This window comes from Homo sapiens, chromosome 11 (genome assembly GCF_000001405.40).
Source record: "Homo sapiens chromosome 11, GRCh38.p14 Primary Assembly".
Taxonomy (NCBI): domain Eukaryota; kingdom Metazoa; phylum Chordata; class Mammalia; order Primates; family Hominidae; genus Homo; species Homo sapiens.
Genome location: NC_000011.10, coordinates 45,464,624 through 45,484,276, shown reverse-complemented (window position 1 = coordinate 45,484,276; position 19,653 = coordinate 45,464,624). Strand labels below are relative to the sequence as shown.

General features: G+C 49.1%; 2 annotated features.

Moving 5' to 3' along the window:
• Positions 15,432 to 15,966: an enhancer, noted in NCBI's record as "H3K27ac-H3K4me1 hESC enhancer chr11:45489861-45490395 (GRCh37/hg19 assembly coordinates)". NCBI's record gives its function as "activates a minimal SCP1, AML or CMV promoter by ChIP-STARR-seq in primed H9 embryonic stem cells {active_cell/tissue: H9 hESC(primed)}" and the evidence as "EXISTENCE:reporter gene assay evidence [ECO:0000049][PMID:30033119]".
• Positions 15,967 to 16,501: an enhancer, noted in NCBI's record as "H3K27ac-H3K4me1 hESC enhancer chr11:45489326-45489860 (GRCh37/hg19 assembly coordinates)". NCBI's record gives its function as "activates a minimal SCP1, AML or CMV promoter by ChIP-STARR-seq in primed H9 embryonic stem cells {active_cell/tissue: H9 hESC(primed)}" and the evidence as "EXISTENCE:reporter gene assay evidence [ECO:0000049][PMID:30033119]".

The following is a 19,653-nucleotide window of genomic DNA, read 5'->3' as shown; positions in this document are numbered from 1 at the left end:
ACCAGCCTGTCCTTAATCTTGGGTGCCCACGACTCCCCTGCAAGAGCCCCCTCCTCTTTATCTGCTGTCTCACCTTTCCAGAAACGTTACAACACAGGGTCTCAAACTGGTAGGCTGTGAGTAGCCCCCGGCCAGTAGATGAGTCTGGGATGACCCAAGTGGTGACTTTTTTCTTTTAAAGAATTGAGCTAATGTTTAAAAGTCAGATATGTCTTAAGGAAAAAAATTGACTTTTCAGCTTCTCTTTAAAAATATTTGAAGAATTGTCAGCAACTCTAATACTCATCCTACCCTGCTCCACGGCAATAGCCCCCTCTTTGGAGTTTTCTCCAGGGACCCACACCTCCCACCTTTCCCAATGCCTCTCTTTTCTTAGTTACATTTCCTGCTGGTTCCCTGGGGGCCATCTGAATTTGAGAGCCCCATGCTGCTGCAGGAACTGGCAGCATGGACTTAGTCCAGTGTGCTCATTATACAGATGAGGGTGCGTGGAGACCCAGAGAGGGAAAGTGACTTGCCCAAGGTCACCCAGAAAGTTAACTGCACATAAGGGACTAGCACCAGGATGTCAACTCTCAGGGAAGCATCTGCTCCTCACCAAGGCCTGAACACTGGGGTTTCCGGGTTTCCCTTCTTTGTGGTCCCAAGGCAGCCCCAGCCTCCTTCCCGCAGCCCCAGCCTCCTCCCGGCAGCTTCATTCCCACCCCCAAGTCATTTGCCAAAGAGAGCCTTGCAAATTTACATCTGATCTCATTATGTCACTCACTTCCCAGCTTTGAGAGGAAAGAACATTATTCCTAGTCTAAGCATAAAGTCAGCCTCCTTAGGATGACACTCTGGGCTGGCGCTATGTGGTCCCCACCTACCTATCCCACCTCATCCTGTCCCTCTGTCCTACCCTGCCTGCCAGCCTGTCTTGTCCATTCTGTGGGACCATTTGCTCTTCCCCAAACACAAAGCTGTGCCTGTTCCTCTGGCTGGCCCATACTGCTACCTTCTGCAAATGAAATTCTGCTCAGCCTTCAAGGCCTACTCCACATTACTTCCTCCAAGAAGCCTCCCTTAACTCCCAACTCCCACTCTGGGGTCTTCAGGTTAGCTAGGGGCTACTGGTCTCCTACACCACTCTGTTCATCCCGCCCATCCAGGCACATATTGCTTTGCGTTCTTGCCTGAGGGGCCGTAGTTACCTTATTCACCTGCCAGCCTAATGGTAGTAGCATTTGCTAAGCCCTTTGCCTGAATTTGCTCATGGATTCAATAGTCCCCTGAAGTAGAGAGATGCCCCTATGTGTTCATATGGAGAAACTGAGGCACGGCATGGTCCAGTGGCATGTCCAAGGTCACTCAGCCTGTATGCAGCCATGGCAGGACCCAGCTTGGATCTGCAGTCCCAGGACCAACCAGTGATGCTATGGGTGAGAGGCTCAGAGCAGGAGTGATCCAGCCTTCTTCACCCTGGTCCAATGAGCCCCAAGTGTATTCTTAGGGTCAGGGCCAGGTGGCAGCTTCTGGGGCAGTTTCCTCCTTGGTTCTCAGTAGCTTGGGCTCATTGCCCGACCTCTAGCTCCAGCCACCCTGCCAATACTTCCCCCTTTCTCCCCACCTTTCTCTCACTCCTCCTCCCTCTGCTGCCGCCGTCATCTAATGGAAAGACCCAGAAAGCAGCTTTTCTTGGTGGCACCACCCCAGAGCAGAATGAGTGACTGGAGTTTCTCCTTACAGGCCCCACGCCTCGAGGCCTTCACATGCGCTGTTCCCTCTGTCTGTGTGTAAGGCCTCCCACAGCCCACTCTGGAACTCTGCCCTGTCCTTCTAGAGAGGAAGCTCAAGGGCAGAATGTTTCTCTGCTCACCAGGCTAGGTGTGGAGCCCTCACCTGGGCTTTCCAGAGAGAAATCCAGCCTTAGCCCCAACGTGGTTTCCAGTTTCCCAAAGTGCCAGGGTGGGGGCACTTCGTAGGGTCTCAGATGATGACACTTGGGAGAAAGGAGAAAGGACAAGGAGGGCAGCATAGATGTCATCTGACTTGTTGTGAACTCTGACCTCCTTCTTCTCTGTCTCCTGCCCACTACTCTGACTTCTGCTCAGGTCACCTTCCCCCTTGCCCACTCTGCCTGAGCTGCACTGACTTCCCTCTACTCCTCACACAAGCCAAGTCCTGTCCTGGCTTAGAGCTCCTGCACCGGCCACTCCTCTGCCTAGAATCCCTCCCTCTGCTCTTGAGCCTTTCTGTCCTTCAGGTCATGGCTCAAATGTCACTATTTCAGGGGTAACAAGTCCCCCATTGGCACCTTCATGGAGGTGAGGGCTGGTTCACAAGTTTGTTGCCCATCTCTCCTGCGTTCCAGCTGTAGGAGGGCAGAGGCCTTGCTAGTCTTGCTTGTGGGATCCCCAGCACCTGACACAAGGACCAGCACAAAGTAGACGCTCAGTAAATATTTGGGTAAATACAAGGAAGTGGGGTAGAAAAAGAGAGCCAGAGAAAGGAAGGAATGAAGGAAGAGAGGAAGAGAGGAAAGAGGAAGGGAGGAAGGAAGGAAGAGAGAGGAGGGGAGGAAGGAAGGAGGGAGGAAGGAAGGAAGGGAGGAGAGGGAGGGAAGAAAGGAAAAACAAGAGAGTGCCTAGTTCTTGGCACAAGAAAGGTCTTGATGGTGCCAGACTGCCCTTGACAATGGGCAAGCATCTTGTCCCTAGCACAAGGTGTGTACGAGAGGAGACGGGGAGGACCGTGAGGGATAGATATCTTTCTTTACTCTCCAAATGCGGCATCTGGGGGAGGCCCTTCGTTAGCAGTTGTTCTCCAACTGAGAGCCTCTCTCTGCTCCCTGCCCTGAGAACAAGGGTGACAAATGAGGACAGTACCCCCTGGAGGTAAAGGGCACTGGGAAGGGCCAGATAATACAAATGAGCATCAGACGTTGTCCTGACCAGAGGTGGAATGGAGAACAAGAAAGATTAGAGTCAGGGAAGAGAGGAGGCCTAGTGAGCCAGGGACAGAGCCGCCTCCAGTAAGGACATGCCTGTTGGGGCAGAGAATGGCTGCCCACAACCATGAAGTCATGTGTGAGCAGCCTTTCCGCTGTCTGATAAAATGCAACTGTGACCCAGATCATAAATTAGAGTCAGGGTTGGAGATTAGCACTAGAATTAAGTACCATGGGAATTCAAGGAGAGAAAAAAATCACATAAAATTCAATTTAAGGATTAAACAGTCATACTTCCTGGTGAAACCATCTTCCTGTGATTATTAAATTGCCCTGCATTGGGGCAGGCTGTCTCACCTGCACACCCCCAAGCTGGCAGCTGGTAGCATAGTGGGCTGACACATGGTGCTGTTGGTCTTAAAGCCCATTCTCTGAGGGCCTTGGGGAAGGAGTGGCTATACCTGCTTCCCCTCCCCAAACCAGTCAAGGCACCCTCCAATCATCCTGTGTTACTGGGTCACAAAGAGAAAGAGCAAGGAGGTGTGGAGGGTGTCAGGTAAGCCCACCACCTTCCCATCATCCTGTGTTACTGGGTCACAAAGAGAAAGAGCAAGGAGGTGTGGAGGGTGCCAGGTAAGCCCACCACCTTCCCTGGGGACAGCTGTGGGTTTTCAGATGCTTATGCAGACACCATCATGCCCCACAGACAGCAGTTGGAGCTGGCAGGCTCCAGGCAGACTGGAAGGTTAGACCCAGAAAGAGCCTTAGAGATCCTCAAGTCTACCTGTCCCCAGAAGAGGAGAGCGAGACCCACAGAGTAGAAGAACTCACCCAAGGCCACTCAGTTGTGTCAGGGGTAGACCAGGACCCCAGGGTCTCTGGACATCTGGAGTTTGTTCCTCAGTGGCAGTATAAGCCACTTAGGTAGGCAGTTAGATCTAAGTGACATCTGCCCCAGGGCTTTAGTTGGAACTACCAAGAACAATGCACTTTCTTTCTCTGGGATTGCCCAGTTGGTTGGATGTAACCCTAGAGCTGCTGGAGCTCATCTTTGTCACCACTTGAAAGAGACTGCCTGAGGATTAAGCCAGAGGAACCATAGTTAAGGGATAAAGGGAGATAGACTTCGGATGATATCATTTGAACACCTGGAGCCAGCCACGCCTGAATGCAGTTCACATTGATGGTTTTAGTTACATGAGTCAAAACTTTTCAAGACCAAGACCATTTGAATTGGATTTCTGTTATTGGTAACTATAAGAGTCCTGACTGATACAGTATTCCTCCCCTGGGAGACAGAGTCCCAATGTCTTTGAATGGTCTGCAAAACTCTGCGGGTTTCAGGACAACTTCTTGGTACACCCCTTCTCCACCCCTGACAATTCACGCTTTGTGCTTCAGCCACACCAAACCTCTTGTGGGTCTACACTCATTCCACCTAGTTCTTGTGCCTCCATGAATACCTCTGGCTAGGATGCATTTTTCTCTTTGCCTGGAAAATTCCTCTTAGATTTTCCAAAATCCTTCCCAGAAATCACTTTTTTTCTCAGACTTCCCGAGACCAATCATTTCCTCCCCATACCATGTCAAACATGGGGTGTATTTCTACTGTGATTTTCTCCTGGTTTGGAATGGATCATTCATCTATCTCCCCTACGGGAAAGGGATAAGCTCTCAAATGCCCTTGGTGCCTAGGATGGGGCTGATCAAATGTAGAAATGAACAGAAAGGCATTAAGCAAATATAATTGAATGATATTTTTCAAAGCCAACCAGCTAGGGAGCCCTTGTCCCCAAATATCCCCTCAAGTCATCTGCCAAATCTGGCCAGAGAAGTCTTTCTGAAAGATGACCCTTCTGATATATTCTATACTGTTATCATCTGAGTTCAAAGCCTGGCTCTGTCACTTCCTACCTGTGTGACTATAGGAAGGACCCTTTACCTCTCTGGGCCCCAGTCTTCATTGTGTGGTTGGGCTGGGCTTAATGACATGATGTCTGTAAAGAGCTTGGAGCAGTGCCTGGCACATGGTGAGCACGCAATAAATGTTAGGTGTTATTAGTCACTGCAGAGAAAATGAGGCGAAAATTAACAAGAACTTTGATGAGGACCTTTTTGTACTCTGTTTCATATTAAACAGTATTTTATGTGAGTGCTTACTAACGTCGCCCTGTTCAATTGATTTAGAAGCACTTCTGAAAGCTTGCTGCTGCCCAAAGCACAGGTATGCCGTTTAAAGGTGATTAACAAAGATGTTTGTGGTCATTTTATAAAATGTTGAGCATCAGGTCTTTAGTGAGGAACATCATTACATCGTTTCCTTGGGAGAATTAGATTAGATTTAGATCATTTCGACTAATAAGTGCATTTTACAAGCCCAAGCTTTCCCAGGCTGGGTGAAAAAATAGTTAAGAAATGGAGGAGCTCATTGCAAAATCAAGCTTCCAAACCTTGCCCACTTCCTGGCCTCAGATCTCCAGAACAAGGTGTGGAAGCTTCATCTCACACTCTTGTATAGACACATAACAACCTCAGCTCCCAGAAGAGTAGCACGTTCCTGCAGGACTCCTTTTAATGATTTAAGGGCTCTGGGCTCCCCTTATCACAAAGGGTTCAAGGGCAGGGGAGGGAGGGCAGGGGAGGGACCAGTTACTGATGCCTCATGGGTGCCAGGCATGGTGCCTTAGTGCGTTATGTGACGAAAGCTCACAACATTCCTGAGAAAGGTACTGTGATTAGACCCATTTTACAGATGAGAGGTGGGTTGACTTGCCCAATGTCACACAGCATTGTCACATGAAGTAGAAGCCAGAGATGTCTCGCCCCAAGGCTTGTGTTCCTCCCATACCAGAGATACTGTGTTCTGAGATGTCTCATCCAGGAACTCTTCCCAGGCTGACTCTGAGCCTTTACTCTCTGCCCCACTGAGTCCCACTGCCAGCCCTGGTGGAAAATTCCAGCAAAGGTTCTCTCTTGAGTTATATACAAATGTCCATTTCTTGCTGCTTTTAAGCTACTGGAATCAACTTCCAACAGGGTCTTTTCCATTAATACACGTGTTTTGAAGTAGGAGAACAGCCCATCCTGGGGAAGAACAACTCATAATTCATATCCGACTGTGATTTGTCCCGAGGCTATGATGGATGACAAGTGATCTGCAAGACCAGTGAAGCGCTCCTCCAAGGGTATAATTAGATGAGCTTGGGATGTGGGGTTCAGACACTGGAGGAGCCCAGAGGGGCCTGGACACCCTGGGTTGAATGCATGTTTGGGATTTGAGACAGCTCATGTCAAAGCTTATGTGCTGGAGTCAAGATGTCTGAAGAGCTCCTGGGGACATAGAAGCACAAAGCTGTGAACTGGCTCAGGCCCCTTCTCCACCACCCAACAGCAAGAAAGGAAGTCAGCCTCCTCTTCCCTGACCCCTTAACACTCACATGTAGACCAAGGGTGTTCATAACAGAGGTGCTCCCTGGGTTGGCCTGCTGGAACATCAGTGTTCTCTCTTGCCCCACATTTTCTCTGGATGAAGCAGGCCTAAAGGGACCCAGAGGGGAGCAGAACCATGAGATGGAAGGAGCCTGGGTCCCCTGAGTGACTGCGTGGAGCAGCACTGCCCTCTCCCACTGACCTGCCTTGGACTTATGATATGAACAAGAAAGACTTTCCTTGTATTCAGTGCCTGAGGTTTGGGGGTTGTTTGTTACAGCACTTATCCTACCCTGAATGATACACTCACCATTCACAGATGCAGTCCTGAGCCTCTTTCCCAATCTGTTCTCACTGAGTCTTGGGTTTTACCATCTCTTTTCTGGTTTCCAAACTCACCTCATCTTGGGTTAATTCTCCGGTTACTCTGATGCCTACCTAGTGGTCGATGCTCTTTCCTGGTTCTTCTAGGCATCCTGGGAAGTGTCCACTCACCTCCAAACAACAAGGTAAGGAGGAAGAAACAGAATCATAGCTCTGGGCTGAAAATTGAGCCTTTGGTTTCAGTCTGGGCTCTACCACTAACATGCTTGTGGCTGTGGATAAGTCAATGAAAACCTCTCTGGGTTTTCATTGCTCACCTATAAAACATGGAAGATAGATGCTTAACTTTAATAGTAGTGGTTGAGATAGACTCAATCACTAAAGAAAATTCACTGGACCCAAAATGACAATGCTTACACATCTAGAGTTGATTACAGGAAAAGGATACAGGTAGCAGCAGTGTTGGGGTAAGGATACACCTTGCAGCCAGGAGGCTGGAGAAGACAGGTACAAGCTCCTGTCATCAAATGGAACACCTCGGAACTAGGGTAGACTCTCAGCTTCAGCATATTCATATTTTGCTGGTCACGTAGGAAGATACCTGCTACATAACCAGCTTAAACAATGCCTTTCAAGGGTCTCACCAAGACCAAGTGCAAACCATCAATCTCACTGTTATCCAAAAACAATGCTGACAAGCTGGTCCAAGCTGCCCCAAAACTTCTCCGACCCCTGATTACAGAGCAACACTATGATCCAGTATGTTTCTTGACCTGACCAGGGGTCAGTGCTGAGTAGGGAAATGCTTACGTGTCTGTGCCATGTTAGCAAGGCAGCTCAAGGCATCATCCACATCCCATGTCCCATGGGCAAGGCCTTTTTATAACAAAACCATCATGCTTACTTGAACAGTACAGATACTCCTCAACTGACGACAGAGCTGCATCCCGATAAACCCTCCCTAAGTTGAAAATGCATTTATGTTGAAAGCGCATTTAATACACCTAACCTCCCAAATGTCATAGCTTAGCCTAGCCTACGTTAAACATGCTCAGAACACTTGCAGTAGCCTATAGTTGAATAATGTCATCTTACACAAAACCTATTGCATAATAAAGTGTTGAATATCTCATGGAGTTTATTGAATACTGTAGTGAAAGTGAAAAACAGAAAGGCTCACCGCTGCTGCCCAGCATTGGCAGAGAGTATCATACTGCATATCTCCACCCTGGCAAAAGATCAAACTTCAAAATTTGAAGTACAGTTTTCACTGCATGCATATTGCTTTCACACCATCACAGAGTCAAAAAATCATAAGTTGAACCATCCTTAGTCAGGGACCATCTGTAATTAAGATGCTCACACAGATTCCACGCATTTTATAATAGCTTGGTCCTGATTTAAACAGACAGCTGAACCATCCAATAATACCAGCACAAACTTTCTCATATTTTTGTACTAACTGCACAATTCTTTTGCTACCTTGATCTATAGCTCTCTGCACTTAATTGTATACATTTGTTGAGTGATAGAACCATAATCAATCTATTATGAATCAAATCTAAATCTTCTTCAGGCCAATTCTCCTTCACAGGTAGAACATTCAAAAGGGGTATTGATTTGCTCTCCCAATACATTTGATCGTAAGTATCAGCATCATAATAAATTCTATTAGCTTCCACAGTATTAAATTTGCCTCTGAATCCTGGAGTATACCACCAGCAGCATCATGTGCAACTCTAGATCTGTGGTTACAGCATAAATGAAACATAATTATAGTGCAATTATTTTGTCCCTCTCAACAAAATCTACCTTTTCCCATAAGCCATATATTCTCTCATACGAGTCTAAGTTAGAGACCATGACTCTATTATTTCAGGATTCCAAACCTCTTGAGGATACAGCCAAATTCCTTTCCAGTTTATGTAATTTGACAGGTACTGATTCCCAATGAGAGGGACCCCACAGGACGACTCATCTATCCCTTGGGATAGGGGTATGAAAAGTCCTTTGATTATGATCCTGGGTTCTATAGCTCTTAGATACTCTGACTTGAAGAGAGAAAAGATTTGAGGTTAGAAAGGTGCCCAGTGAGTTAAATCAGGCTGGGCCTGCTGCTATTCAGACCTGGGAAGGGCAATTCTTCCCTCCTCCTGTTGTGCAAGTGGTCTTGGATCATAAATGCATTGATTACCTATCAGGTAGACAAGCTGGGCTGTGGCAGGAACAAGCCTCTCAGCACGAAGTGGGGGCCGGCTAAGCCCCCTGGTTTTGCAAGATGCTGAATCATCTTGCAAAATGCTAATGCTGGCCCAGCAAAGGCCATATTGAGCAGGGAGGCTGGACCTCCCTGCCTCTCTGTTGTTGGCTGTGCCACAATCCCAGGACATCCTTGTTTGGGTAACATGACACACTGGTACTCTTACCTACCGCTGTTCTTTTGGCTTAAATCATGCCTCAAGCAAGCATTTTTTCAGACACCTACTGTGTGCCTGGTATTTTGACCTCAGTTTAAGCCTTACGTCTCCCTTCAGCTGAGACAGGATTATTTATCTTCCTATGAAAGACACTGAAGCCACCAGAGGGGAAGTGACTTACCCAAGGCTATTGACCTTGCAAGTGCCGGAGCTGAGACTCAAACTCAGATGTTTTTCAGGCCTTCCAGGATGGGAATATTCATGAGATTAAGGCCTGACCTGGCACCAGCAGAACCTGAGCCAGAGTGAAAGCCCATATAGGTCCTGGGAGACCTCGGAGGTGTCAGCATGAGTTATTCTAATGAGGTTTCTCCACACTTCTGATATTAGACCACCCCTTCTGATACCTGACTTCTGTTTACAAAGCCCTTTCCTGAACCAAAACGCCCTCAACACCACACCCTCCTATTTTACAGAGGAGCAAATGGAGGTTGTGACTTTATAATGACCTAAGGTCAGGTCAGGCTCCTTAGGGTGACTTCAGTGCCTGGCCTAGCGTCTTCCATGTTAGCAGTTCTTTAAGACCTTTTGTCAAGGGAATAAATGAACGAGGATAGATTTTTCCATTCCTCTATTTAGTTTGGGTCTTCTGAAATGGTCAAGTCAAAGACGGTTAGATGATCAGGGCCAGAAGGGCCTGTCAGAGAGAAACCCAGCCCCTCATTCTACACATGAAGGGGATGGAGGGCCAGTGACCTGCCCGTGATCACACAGCCTAGACTCCTCATTCAGTGCTCAGAGTGACCTAATGGATCTCAAATGTTTCCCATGTAGGGAACAGAAATGTTGGGTCAAGAGAAATGCACTTTGCAAACAACCCCTCTGGGTAGGCAGGAGGCTGGTGGAAAGAGATGATGCCTTCTCAGAGCTGCCTGTATTGAAAGAAGGTAGGGGGTGGCAGGGGAGGCAGGCCTAGGATCCAACAAGCTTTTTCGTGGCTTAGAGGGAGGGGAAAGAGAAGGCCTCCCAGGGGCTTCACTAGGTACCTTGTAGAATCTCAGAGCTAAAAGGAGCCCAGGGCCAGAAATCAGCCTGCCCCGTTGATTGCTGCAGACACAAAAGGGGAAAAACCTAGAGACCTTGCACTCATGGAGCTTGTGGTCTGGCAGATGTGCTGCACAATCCCCACTAAAGATGTCAACTTGCAGGAGTACAGCCCCTCCGAGGAGAGGGGCGAGTTTCTCCTTACCCCAGTGTGTGCACTTGGCTTGTTGGCTCTCTGCTGCCTCTCTTGCCCCATCTTCCCAGGCTCTTCTGCTTGCCATTTCTCTGTTCTCTCTCTTCCACTCCCTGCCCCTTTCCTCCACTCCATCTCTGCATCTCTCTGGTTTCTATCCCTGTTGGCTGCACCTCCTGCCATCTGTGTGTCTCTCTGCCTTGGTCTCTGTCCCCAGCCCTCCTTCTGTCTCTCTCTCCTCCCCCGAACAGCAGGCTGTGCTCTCTCTGTTTCCCTTGGTTACTGTTTACACTGTCTCCGCTTGTTGCTGTTTCTCCCTGACCTCAGGCCTGACTGTCTCTGTCTCTTGTAGTCTCTCCCCATCTCCTCTCCCTTCTCTCTCAAGAGACTGGAGCCAGAACCCTCCATTCCCAGCGCCCATCATCTCTCCTCTGCAGGGCCCTCCCCATGGCCCACCAGCAGGCTATGAAAACACCTGGGCCTCATAACCTGAAGGGCAGAATTGATGAGAAAATAAATTCCTGATTAGTGTTTTAATTTTAAGGATCTTTAGAGGGGACTAAACAGTAAGTGAGGCTGGTGGAGAAAGACAGCATTATTAAAACCATAAATCCTCCAAGGGAGAGGGGAGAAAGGGGCCAAAAGGAACACAGACGGGGCAGACAGAGCTTCCTTTGAAGGGATGGGCTGGGGGGTGAGGCACAAAAGTGGGTGGAGAGGCCAAGGACATGGATCGTCCTCTCCCTCCCCTGCGCAGAGGCTTGCTTCCCTGGGGGCAACAGACCCCACTGGCCATGCCTTCCTGTTCCCAGAGTGTTAGGCTGGGCCACAGAGGGAGACCGTTGGTGGCCGGCACGGGTTGGGTGGAGGGGTGGAAGCCGCGTTAGTTCAACTGTCTCTCTCCACATTGGCCAGCGTAGTGCCTGGGAAGAGTGAGAGCCCATCAGCCTTGATCAGTGAGAGGCAAGAGTCAGAGGTATGTGTGGAGTGGAGAAAATTATTCCCCCACTACAGGTGTGTGTGACAATGAAATGAGAAATGAGATCATGCACATGCGGCGCTTACAAGGGGTGGCGCTAAGAAGGTGCCCGTTAAATGCAGCTTTTGTTCCTCCTGCCAGCACCGAACTCTTTCCTCTCAGCAATTTTTAGCCAGTCCCAACTTCCCCACCTCTTTTTGTTTTTTACAGCTTTATTGAGGGATAATTGATATACCACTAAACAGCACAGTTAATGTACACAATTTGATGAGTTTAGACATAGGCAGACATGCCAGAAATCACCACGATCAAGGTAACACACGTATCCATCATGTCTAGAAGTTTCCTTGTGCCCCCTGCTTTTGATTTGTTTTTGTGGTGAGAATACTTAACATGAGGTCTACCCTCTGAACAGGTTTTTAAGTACACACTATGGCACTGTTAACTCCAGGCACTAGAGCACAGATCTTTAGGAATGGTTCATCTTGCATCACTGACACTCAAGTTATACATTGAGTAACCCTCCATTTTCCCCTCTCCCAGCTTCTGGCAGCCATCATTCTACACCTCCTCTATGCGTCTGACTTCTGTATCCTTCACACAAATGGAACTGCTGTAGTTGTCCTTCTGGGACTGGCTGATTTCACTGAACATAATGTTCCTCGGGCTCATCCATGCTGTTGCATATGGCAGGATTCCCTTCTTTTTTAAGGCTGAATAATATTCTGTTGTGTATACATGTCACGTTATCTTTTTTTTTTTTTTTTTTTTTTTTTTTTGAGACAGAGTGTCACCCTGTTGACCAGGCTGGAGTGCAGTGGCGTGATATCAGCTCACTGCAACCTCCACCTCCTGGGTTCAAGCAATTCTCCTGCCTCAGCCTCCTGAGTAGCTGGGATTACAGGTGCCTGCCACCATGTCTGGCTAATTTTTGTATTTTTAGTAGAGACAGGGTTTCACCATGTTGGCCAGGCTTGTCTTGAACTCCTGACCTCAAGTGATCCACCCGTCTCAGCCTCCAAAAGTGCTAGGATTACAGGCATAAGCCACCGCGCCCGGCCCCAGCACATTATCTTTATCCATTCATCTGTCATAAGGCATTGAGGCTGTTTCAGTCTTGTCTACTGTGAATAGTGCTGCTGTGAACATGGGGTACAGGTATCTCTTAGAGATCCTGGTTTCAATTCTTCTGGATATATACCCAGACATGGGATTGCGGGATCATATGGTAGTTCTATTTTTAACATTTTGAAGAACCTCCATACTGTTTTCCATAGCAGCTGTGACCCCCATTTACAGATAGACAAACTGGAGCCAGAGGTCCAATCACCTTGCCTTAGGCCACAAGGCCTGTAAGGGCTGAAGTCGAGATGGGGCCCAGCTCTGAAGCAAAGTCCTCCCCAGGCATCCCTGGGGCTGCCTCTGAGGGATTCATGCTTGCCACCTGAGGGGCTCGATCCAGCCAAGCAGCCATGCCAGCAGACGGGGAAAGGGTTACCAGGAAGCAGGGCTGCTTGGTTCCCTTGGCAAAGCCTAGAACCCATGGACGCCAATGCCTGGTGGAGGGAAGAGGGGAAGGTGGTCACCCCCTGCCCTGCTCCAGCCCAAGAGAATGAAAGGCCTTCATCCAAGGGCTGCCTAAGTGTGTCTGGTGGCACCTGGAGCCATCCTTCCTGCCCCTGTTGACCTTTCCATTCTTCCCATGCTCTTTTGGACAATTCAGGCCTCTAGCTCTCAGGAGGCAGGACCACTGCCTTGCACAACTGCAGGGGACATCATTCCTATCCTGCAGAATGTGAATCAGACAATGTGTGCAGGGCTGGAGAGGGGGTAAGCGGCCTGCGTGATGCCACATGGTAGTGAGGAAGCCACCCCCATGAGATTGTCTCACCATGGGTCCTCAGGCTCACTTTGGAGGCAGCAGGGTTGTTCCTCTTGAGAAGGGAGCCTGGAGCTGGGGGCTTAATGAGTAATTCAAAGAGGAAGAGGCTTAGAAGCTACCCTAGGAGGAGGCATGGGAAGCCTCAAGGTCTCTTGTGAGGATGGCAGAGTGAGCAGAATTACCAAGACCAGCAGGGGGTGAGAGGAAGGCTGTGGTCTGTTGTGCAAAGAGTGGGAGGAGAAGGCATCCGGCCAGCCCCCAAGAAGTCTCTGGGGTCTGAGAGGCCTTTTGGTTCCTGTGCCCCCTCCTTTTCCCTTCTATGGCAGGGCTGCTCCCACCAGCCAGTGAAGGTCACTGTGTCCAGAGTCACTGTCCTGGGCAGGGCTCTGGGACCTCCTGCCGCATATTCTTGGCTGATGGTGCTGATTTGGCCCCAAATCTCTTTAGAGACCACCCAAGGCCCGCCACAGCACAGTCTATTTTTTCATAAGGGAGCTTGAGCACGGGGGCAGTTGGGGCCAGCAGCCAGCCCCACCTCCGCAAGTTCAAGGGAACACGGCCTCCTCCAGCTCTCATTAAATGGTTTCCTCTCATTTAATTTTTAACTGTTAAAAATTGTCTTTGGGGCCCAGACTTTTTTTCTGGTAGCGTTGGGTCAGGGGAAGAGGGAGGAAGAATTCGTCTGCCTGGGATGAAGCAAGCCTGGCTTGGCACTTGGCCTAGCTTTCCTGCCTCCCTTGGGAATCTGTCCACATTCTGGCTCTGCTGGGGTCCAAGGCAGGGCAAATGATGATGTGGCAGCATTTCAGTTCAAACCCATGGTGAGCTGGCATAGAGAATATTTGGTTAACAGGTCAGAATTTGGAGCCAGGCTGCATAGGTTCTAATCCTGGCTTGGTTACCGACTCTCTGGGTGATCTTGGGAAAGTTACTTACCCTGTCTGTGCCTTGCTTTCTTCATCTGTAAAGTAAGGATACAGATATGCTCCTCAGAGGGCTGTTCTGAGTCTTTTCCTCGAACTTCAGCTTGATGGCCAGGCCCGGCATGGTGCCCACTGCCTACCTGCCATGGGCCCCATACACCCGGAGCGGCACCTGGCCACTTCCTCTGGGACTCCTACTGCTGGCTGGAATGTCCTGCTGTTTGGTATCACTTAGACGTGGTCCTGGTCACCACAGGAGCCTCTCCCTAGCATTTAAGTCACAGCTTCCTGATTCTGCACTGCTCTGGCCCCATGCTCCCCTCTGTCTTATTAGCAATCAACCCCTGTTCCACCCATGCCACCCAAATCACCATCACACCGCAGTTTCCATCCCTGGGGCCTACTGCAGTGCAGGCACTAGACTGTTTGACCTACAAGAGCTCATCCAATCCTCCAAATAGCCCTCCAAAGCTGGTATTATCACTCCATTTGCAAAGGAGTAAGCATGGGTAACTTGCTCAAGGTCACACAGCCAATAGAGAATGTGGAAGAATTTGAACCTGTATCTACCTGCAAATAGGCAGGGTTCTGACACGTGGGAACAGGTGCAGCATCTGGCTCAGAGACACAGCAAGGGGATAGAGGGACCAGTGTGGCACCCATTAGAAACAGCAAGTGGGGAGAGGGAGAAAATGAGGAAGGGGTCTGGGCTTAATGGAGGGTGCCTTTCTCTCAGCATCACTGCCAGCTTGAAATGGTCGCAGACTCTTCTGGAAAAAGACAAGGTGAGGGGTGGAGGCTGGGAGAGAAAACCCAGATTGACAGGTTAAAAAGAAAATCCTGGCTGGGCACAAGGCTCACTCCTGTAATCCCAGCACTTTGGGAGGCCTAGGCGGGTGGATCACCTGAGGTCAGGAGTTCAAGACCAGCCTTGCCAACATGGTGAAACCTTGTCTTTACTAAAAACAAAAAAATTAGCTGGGTGTGGTGGCATGCACCTGTAATCTCAACTACTTGGGAGGCTGAGGCAGAAGAATCACTTGAACCCTGGAGTTGGAGGTTGCAGTGAGCCAAGATCACGCTACTGCACTCCAGCCTGGGCGACAGAATGAGACTCTGTCTGAAAAAAAAAAAAAAAAAAAGAAAAAAAGAAAATCCTGGCTCCTACCTGCCAGCTTTTCTGGGTGATGGCAGTGGTGAGAGGAATCCAGCCATTTTGGTGGGTAGGCCCTGCCTGGGCCCCCAACCTCAATATATAGTTACTAATGGTGTGAGAGTAAGAAAATAACATTGACTTAGTAGTCAAGACAGACCTTAGCTTAAAGCCCCTGACCATAGTTTTCTATGTGACCTTAAGTTAGCAACTTAACCTCTCTGTGGCTGTTTCCTCATCTATAAAATGGAACCATAACACCTACCTTGTGGGACTGGACTGAGTATTGGATGGAAGCCAAACTCTTTGCATGTCATAAGGCTCTTCCATGGTAGCTGTCCTGCCCCTCCTTTGAGCTCCTGTGTATTTGAGCAGAGCCCTGTCCCTGTCTGCACCTCCATTTCTGGGTCTGTGAAAAGGAGAAGGTGGGACAAGCTGATTCCAACAGCCCCTCCAGCCTGACCAGCCATGATAGATGACTTCAGGCCAGGCCAGTCCTCCTCTGGAGCCACAGGAATGTGAACAAGGGGCCACTTGGGGGCAAAAGAGTTTCCTGCAGCAGCGTGTTTCCGCTTCCGCCTGCAAGCAGAGCCGAGACAGCGATTTGTTCTTAGCTCGAGGAGAGACACAAAACTGGAACAACAGAAAGAAGGCGCTCTGGGGAAAAGGACTTGGCCATGGGGAAATCATGTTCACCTCCATGCTGGGAAGAAAGCTGAGGCAGGAGGCAGGAAGGCCTGGCTGCTCCTCCCTACGTGTTGCCAGCAGCCTGGGATGACCGCAATGTAAGAAGAGGCAGGGAATGCCATCGGCCACTCTGGAGTGCTCTGGAGCCCCACACTTAGTTAGGGACCCATTACAAATTGCCAGGGACATCTCAGCTTGGAGCATGAATCAGGACACAGCCCATGTTTTCCTGCTTTCAAATCCAGGGAGCTGGGGAGGGACCTCTAGGAGCAATTGACTCTGGTCATGCATGGGCCATGGGTTCTGTGGCCCTACCTGGGCTGATGGTGCTTATTTACCCCTACGTGACCTCACCCCGCTCCCTTGACCTCAGTGAGCCTTAGTTTCTCCTTCTGTAAAAGGGGACAATGACAGTACCTATTCCGCAGGGATGTTAGGAAGATTAGATGCGTGTGACATTTAGAGAAGAGTGGCTGACACTTGGCAAGGGCTTTATAAATGTGAGCTAAATGGTCTCATCTGCTCCTCACCACACCTGTGAAGTGGTGGTTGCTGCCCCCTTGCACAGATGGGAAAAGTGAGGCTACGGATGGGAGTGATTGCCCAAGGACCTGTAGCTTGTTAAGTAGAGGAGCCGAAGTGGAAGCCAGGGTGGGCGGATTCCCAGGTCTGCATCCTCCATCCTTACTCCTAGGACCATTCTGTGGGGCTCTGAGTGGGGGTGGGAAGAGAGAGGGCCCCCACTCCAATTACCTTCAGTGCAGTTGAAAGACGGTCCCAGGTCCCGGCTTCTGTGGGGCTGTCCTGGGGTTAGGACATCTGCTCAGTCCCCCTTTTTCCTTTTTATAACTTTTCCCATTTCCTGAGCCCCATCATATGCCAGAAACCATGCTGGGCATGCCACCCACATTATCTCAGGCCTTGTGGGCTAGGTGCTGTTTTCCCCATTTCAAAATTAATGAGAAACAGAGAGGTTAATGCCTAATCCTACATCACACAGCTGCTCAGAGCTAACAGAGCTGGGATTCGAGACCCCTGCAGCTCTGCTTTCTGCCCAGCTGTAGCACTAAAATCTGATGCCCACAACCAGCTATGCAACCTCTCCATGTTTCAGTTTTTCCTTCTATAAAATGGGAGTGGTAAAGTAGTGCTTACATATCTTCTAGGATTATTGTGAGGATTAACTTGGTAAATGTACACATATACCCACAAAACATTTGGAAGAGTGTCTGACATAGAGTGAGTTCTCTACGAATTAAAATTAGCTGTTTTCAGGTCACTGGATTAGCATGGGCCACAAGATCAATGGCATTGGGTTTCCTGAGTCTGATTCCTGAGCCTTGCCTTGGAGGCGTGCAGTGGGTGGGCCTACTTAGTGTTTATTCAGCAAACACTACTGGGGCATTGGTTGGACCCAGACACTCAACAATAGCTCATTTAATCCTCACAATCACCCTCTGAGATATGTAGGGACTATTCTAATCATTCCCAATTTACAGATGAGCAAACTGAGGCATAGAGAGGTGCAGAAACTTGCCCAAGCTCAAACAGACTTGGAACAGGGGCAGCTTGGCTTCAAAGTCTGTGGTCTTAGCCACCTCGCTTCATCAGCTGCCTCTCCTTTCCAGAATGTGAGAACCTGAGTGGAAGAGGTACGGCTTTTCTGTATGGGCTTGAAGCCAACAATCACCCCCAACTATTCACCATATAATTAATGATGATTATCTTATCTCTTGGGAGTGAAATAGACACACAGTGACTATGAAGCCTGTTATGCTAAGATCTGTGTGCTCTTTTCCCAGGAGATAAGGGCTAAATAGGCAGAAACCAAGGTGGTGATCTCTCAATATTGTTCAGGAAGGAGAATTATGGAGCAGGCGAAAAATTGTTTGGCCTAAGTTTGCTGGTATCCCAAATGATTTTTCTCATTGTTTGTTTTTAAAAAAACCTAAATTGGGGTCTCCTTGGAGAAAGGAAGGCCAGGCCTGGTCATGGTGGCTCCCTGCCATGCTTCATGGCCAGAGTGACCTCTGCAAGGATCTGCTGCATGAATAATCACATCCTGGGAGTGAACCCATGTGTGAGAGTCAATTCCTGGACCCACCAAAAGAAGAGGGGCCTGAGGGGTCATCTGGTCCAGTATCCCTCCCTTCAAATAGGAAGAAATCCAGGCCCAGAACAGGGGAGCGACTTATGCAAGGTTGCACAGCAGACTGATGGCTGTCATGGGTAGCAACTATATGGGGGTGGTGGCATGGGTGGTAAAGGAATTTATCAAGACAGTCATAGGTATAGAAAGGCAGATTTATTACAGAAGATATGAAAAGATGTAAGAAAGCAACGGGTAGATTAGCAGGAGAGGAGCTGACTGCAAGGAGACAAAAGCTTTCTGGGGAGTTCATAGGATGGTGCTTGTGCTGGAGAGGGCTATGTGTAGTATTGATAATGCCAAGGTTGCAGTGAGCTAACTTGCATTTTTTAATCAGCTGAGAGTCTGGTGGTAAGTTGGGTACAGGAAGACTGTGAGTTATTTGCACAGGAGGGCTATGTGTCCTGGATTGTGAAGAAAGGCAGGTGTGTAGCTTATTTTCTTTTTCTTTTTTCTTTTCCCTTGTTTTGCCAGCCTAACTCTGTTTCCTTAACATTGTGACCCCACAATGGTGACCAGAGCTTCAGGACCCCTGGTCACTCCTTATGACCTTAACATTGACAAGACGCCTCAGCTTTGCCTGGTCTGGACTACAGAGTAACAAGGAGAGAGTGCAGGTGATGGCTCAAGCAAACCTGCCTGTTCCTAGGATGGTAAACTCCATAATGGCAGGCGACCATGGTGTCTTCTTTGCTGCATCCCTAGGGCCCAGCACAGAACGTGGCATACAGTAGAGACTCAATAGATATCTTCAAAATGACTTACTGAATGAGAAGGCCAGTGTGCAGTGAAACTGGAAGGGCAGAGTAAGCAGTGGGACCCCTAAGGGAGTCTCAGAGGGAGGGAGGTAAGGAAGATTCGGAAGACGAGGCATCTTCTTAGGAGGCTTCCATCCTCTCCAAAGATCTGTTCCCAAGGGAGGTTCTCTTGGAGAATCATCCTCAAGAAGAAAGTGTATGTGCCTTGCAGGGAGGTGGGAGTAGAGCTGGGAAACTTCTCCAGGTCCCAGCAGGGCACTCCATTCCCAGCCACTCAACCTGCACTTCTCCAGGCTATATCTGGCCTCACTGAGGCCTGATCTTACTCAGACCATGAAGCCTGGCTGTGAACCACCAAGTGACAGCTCAAAGCCCTATCTTTAAACCGCTCACCATGGTGTTTTAGTAGAAGCCATCTGGGCCTTGTTTTCCTGGGACCCTCAAAGCTCTCATCTGGGGGCACAAAGTGAAGGGCAGCTCTCTATTGTGATAGGAAAACTCTTCTGACCTACTTCCTTTCCAAGCATGGATACTGGAAGAGCCAGATGTCTCCCAGTGGAGACCCTGGCTGCTGCAAACTGAAACCTGCGTTTGAAGCCATTCTGAGTCACCTCATCATAGTAAAACAGCAGCTGCTGCCAGGTATCGGGAGCCTGTTTTGTGCCAGGGTCTTCGTTCTGTGTTCCATGTATCTCACATTGTCCCCCACAGTGAACTGGGGCAGTGAGCCCCCTTGTGCCGATGATGGAATTAGGGCCCAAAGGCATACAGCACCCTGACCAAGGTCAC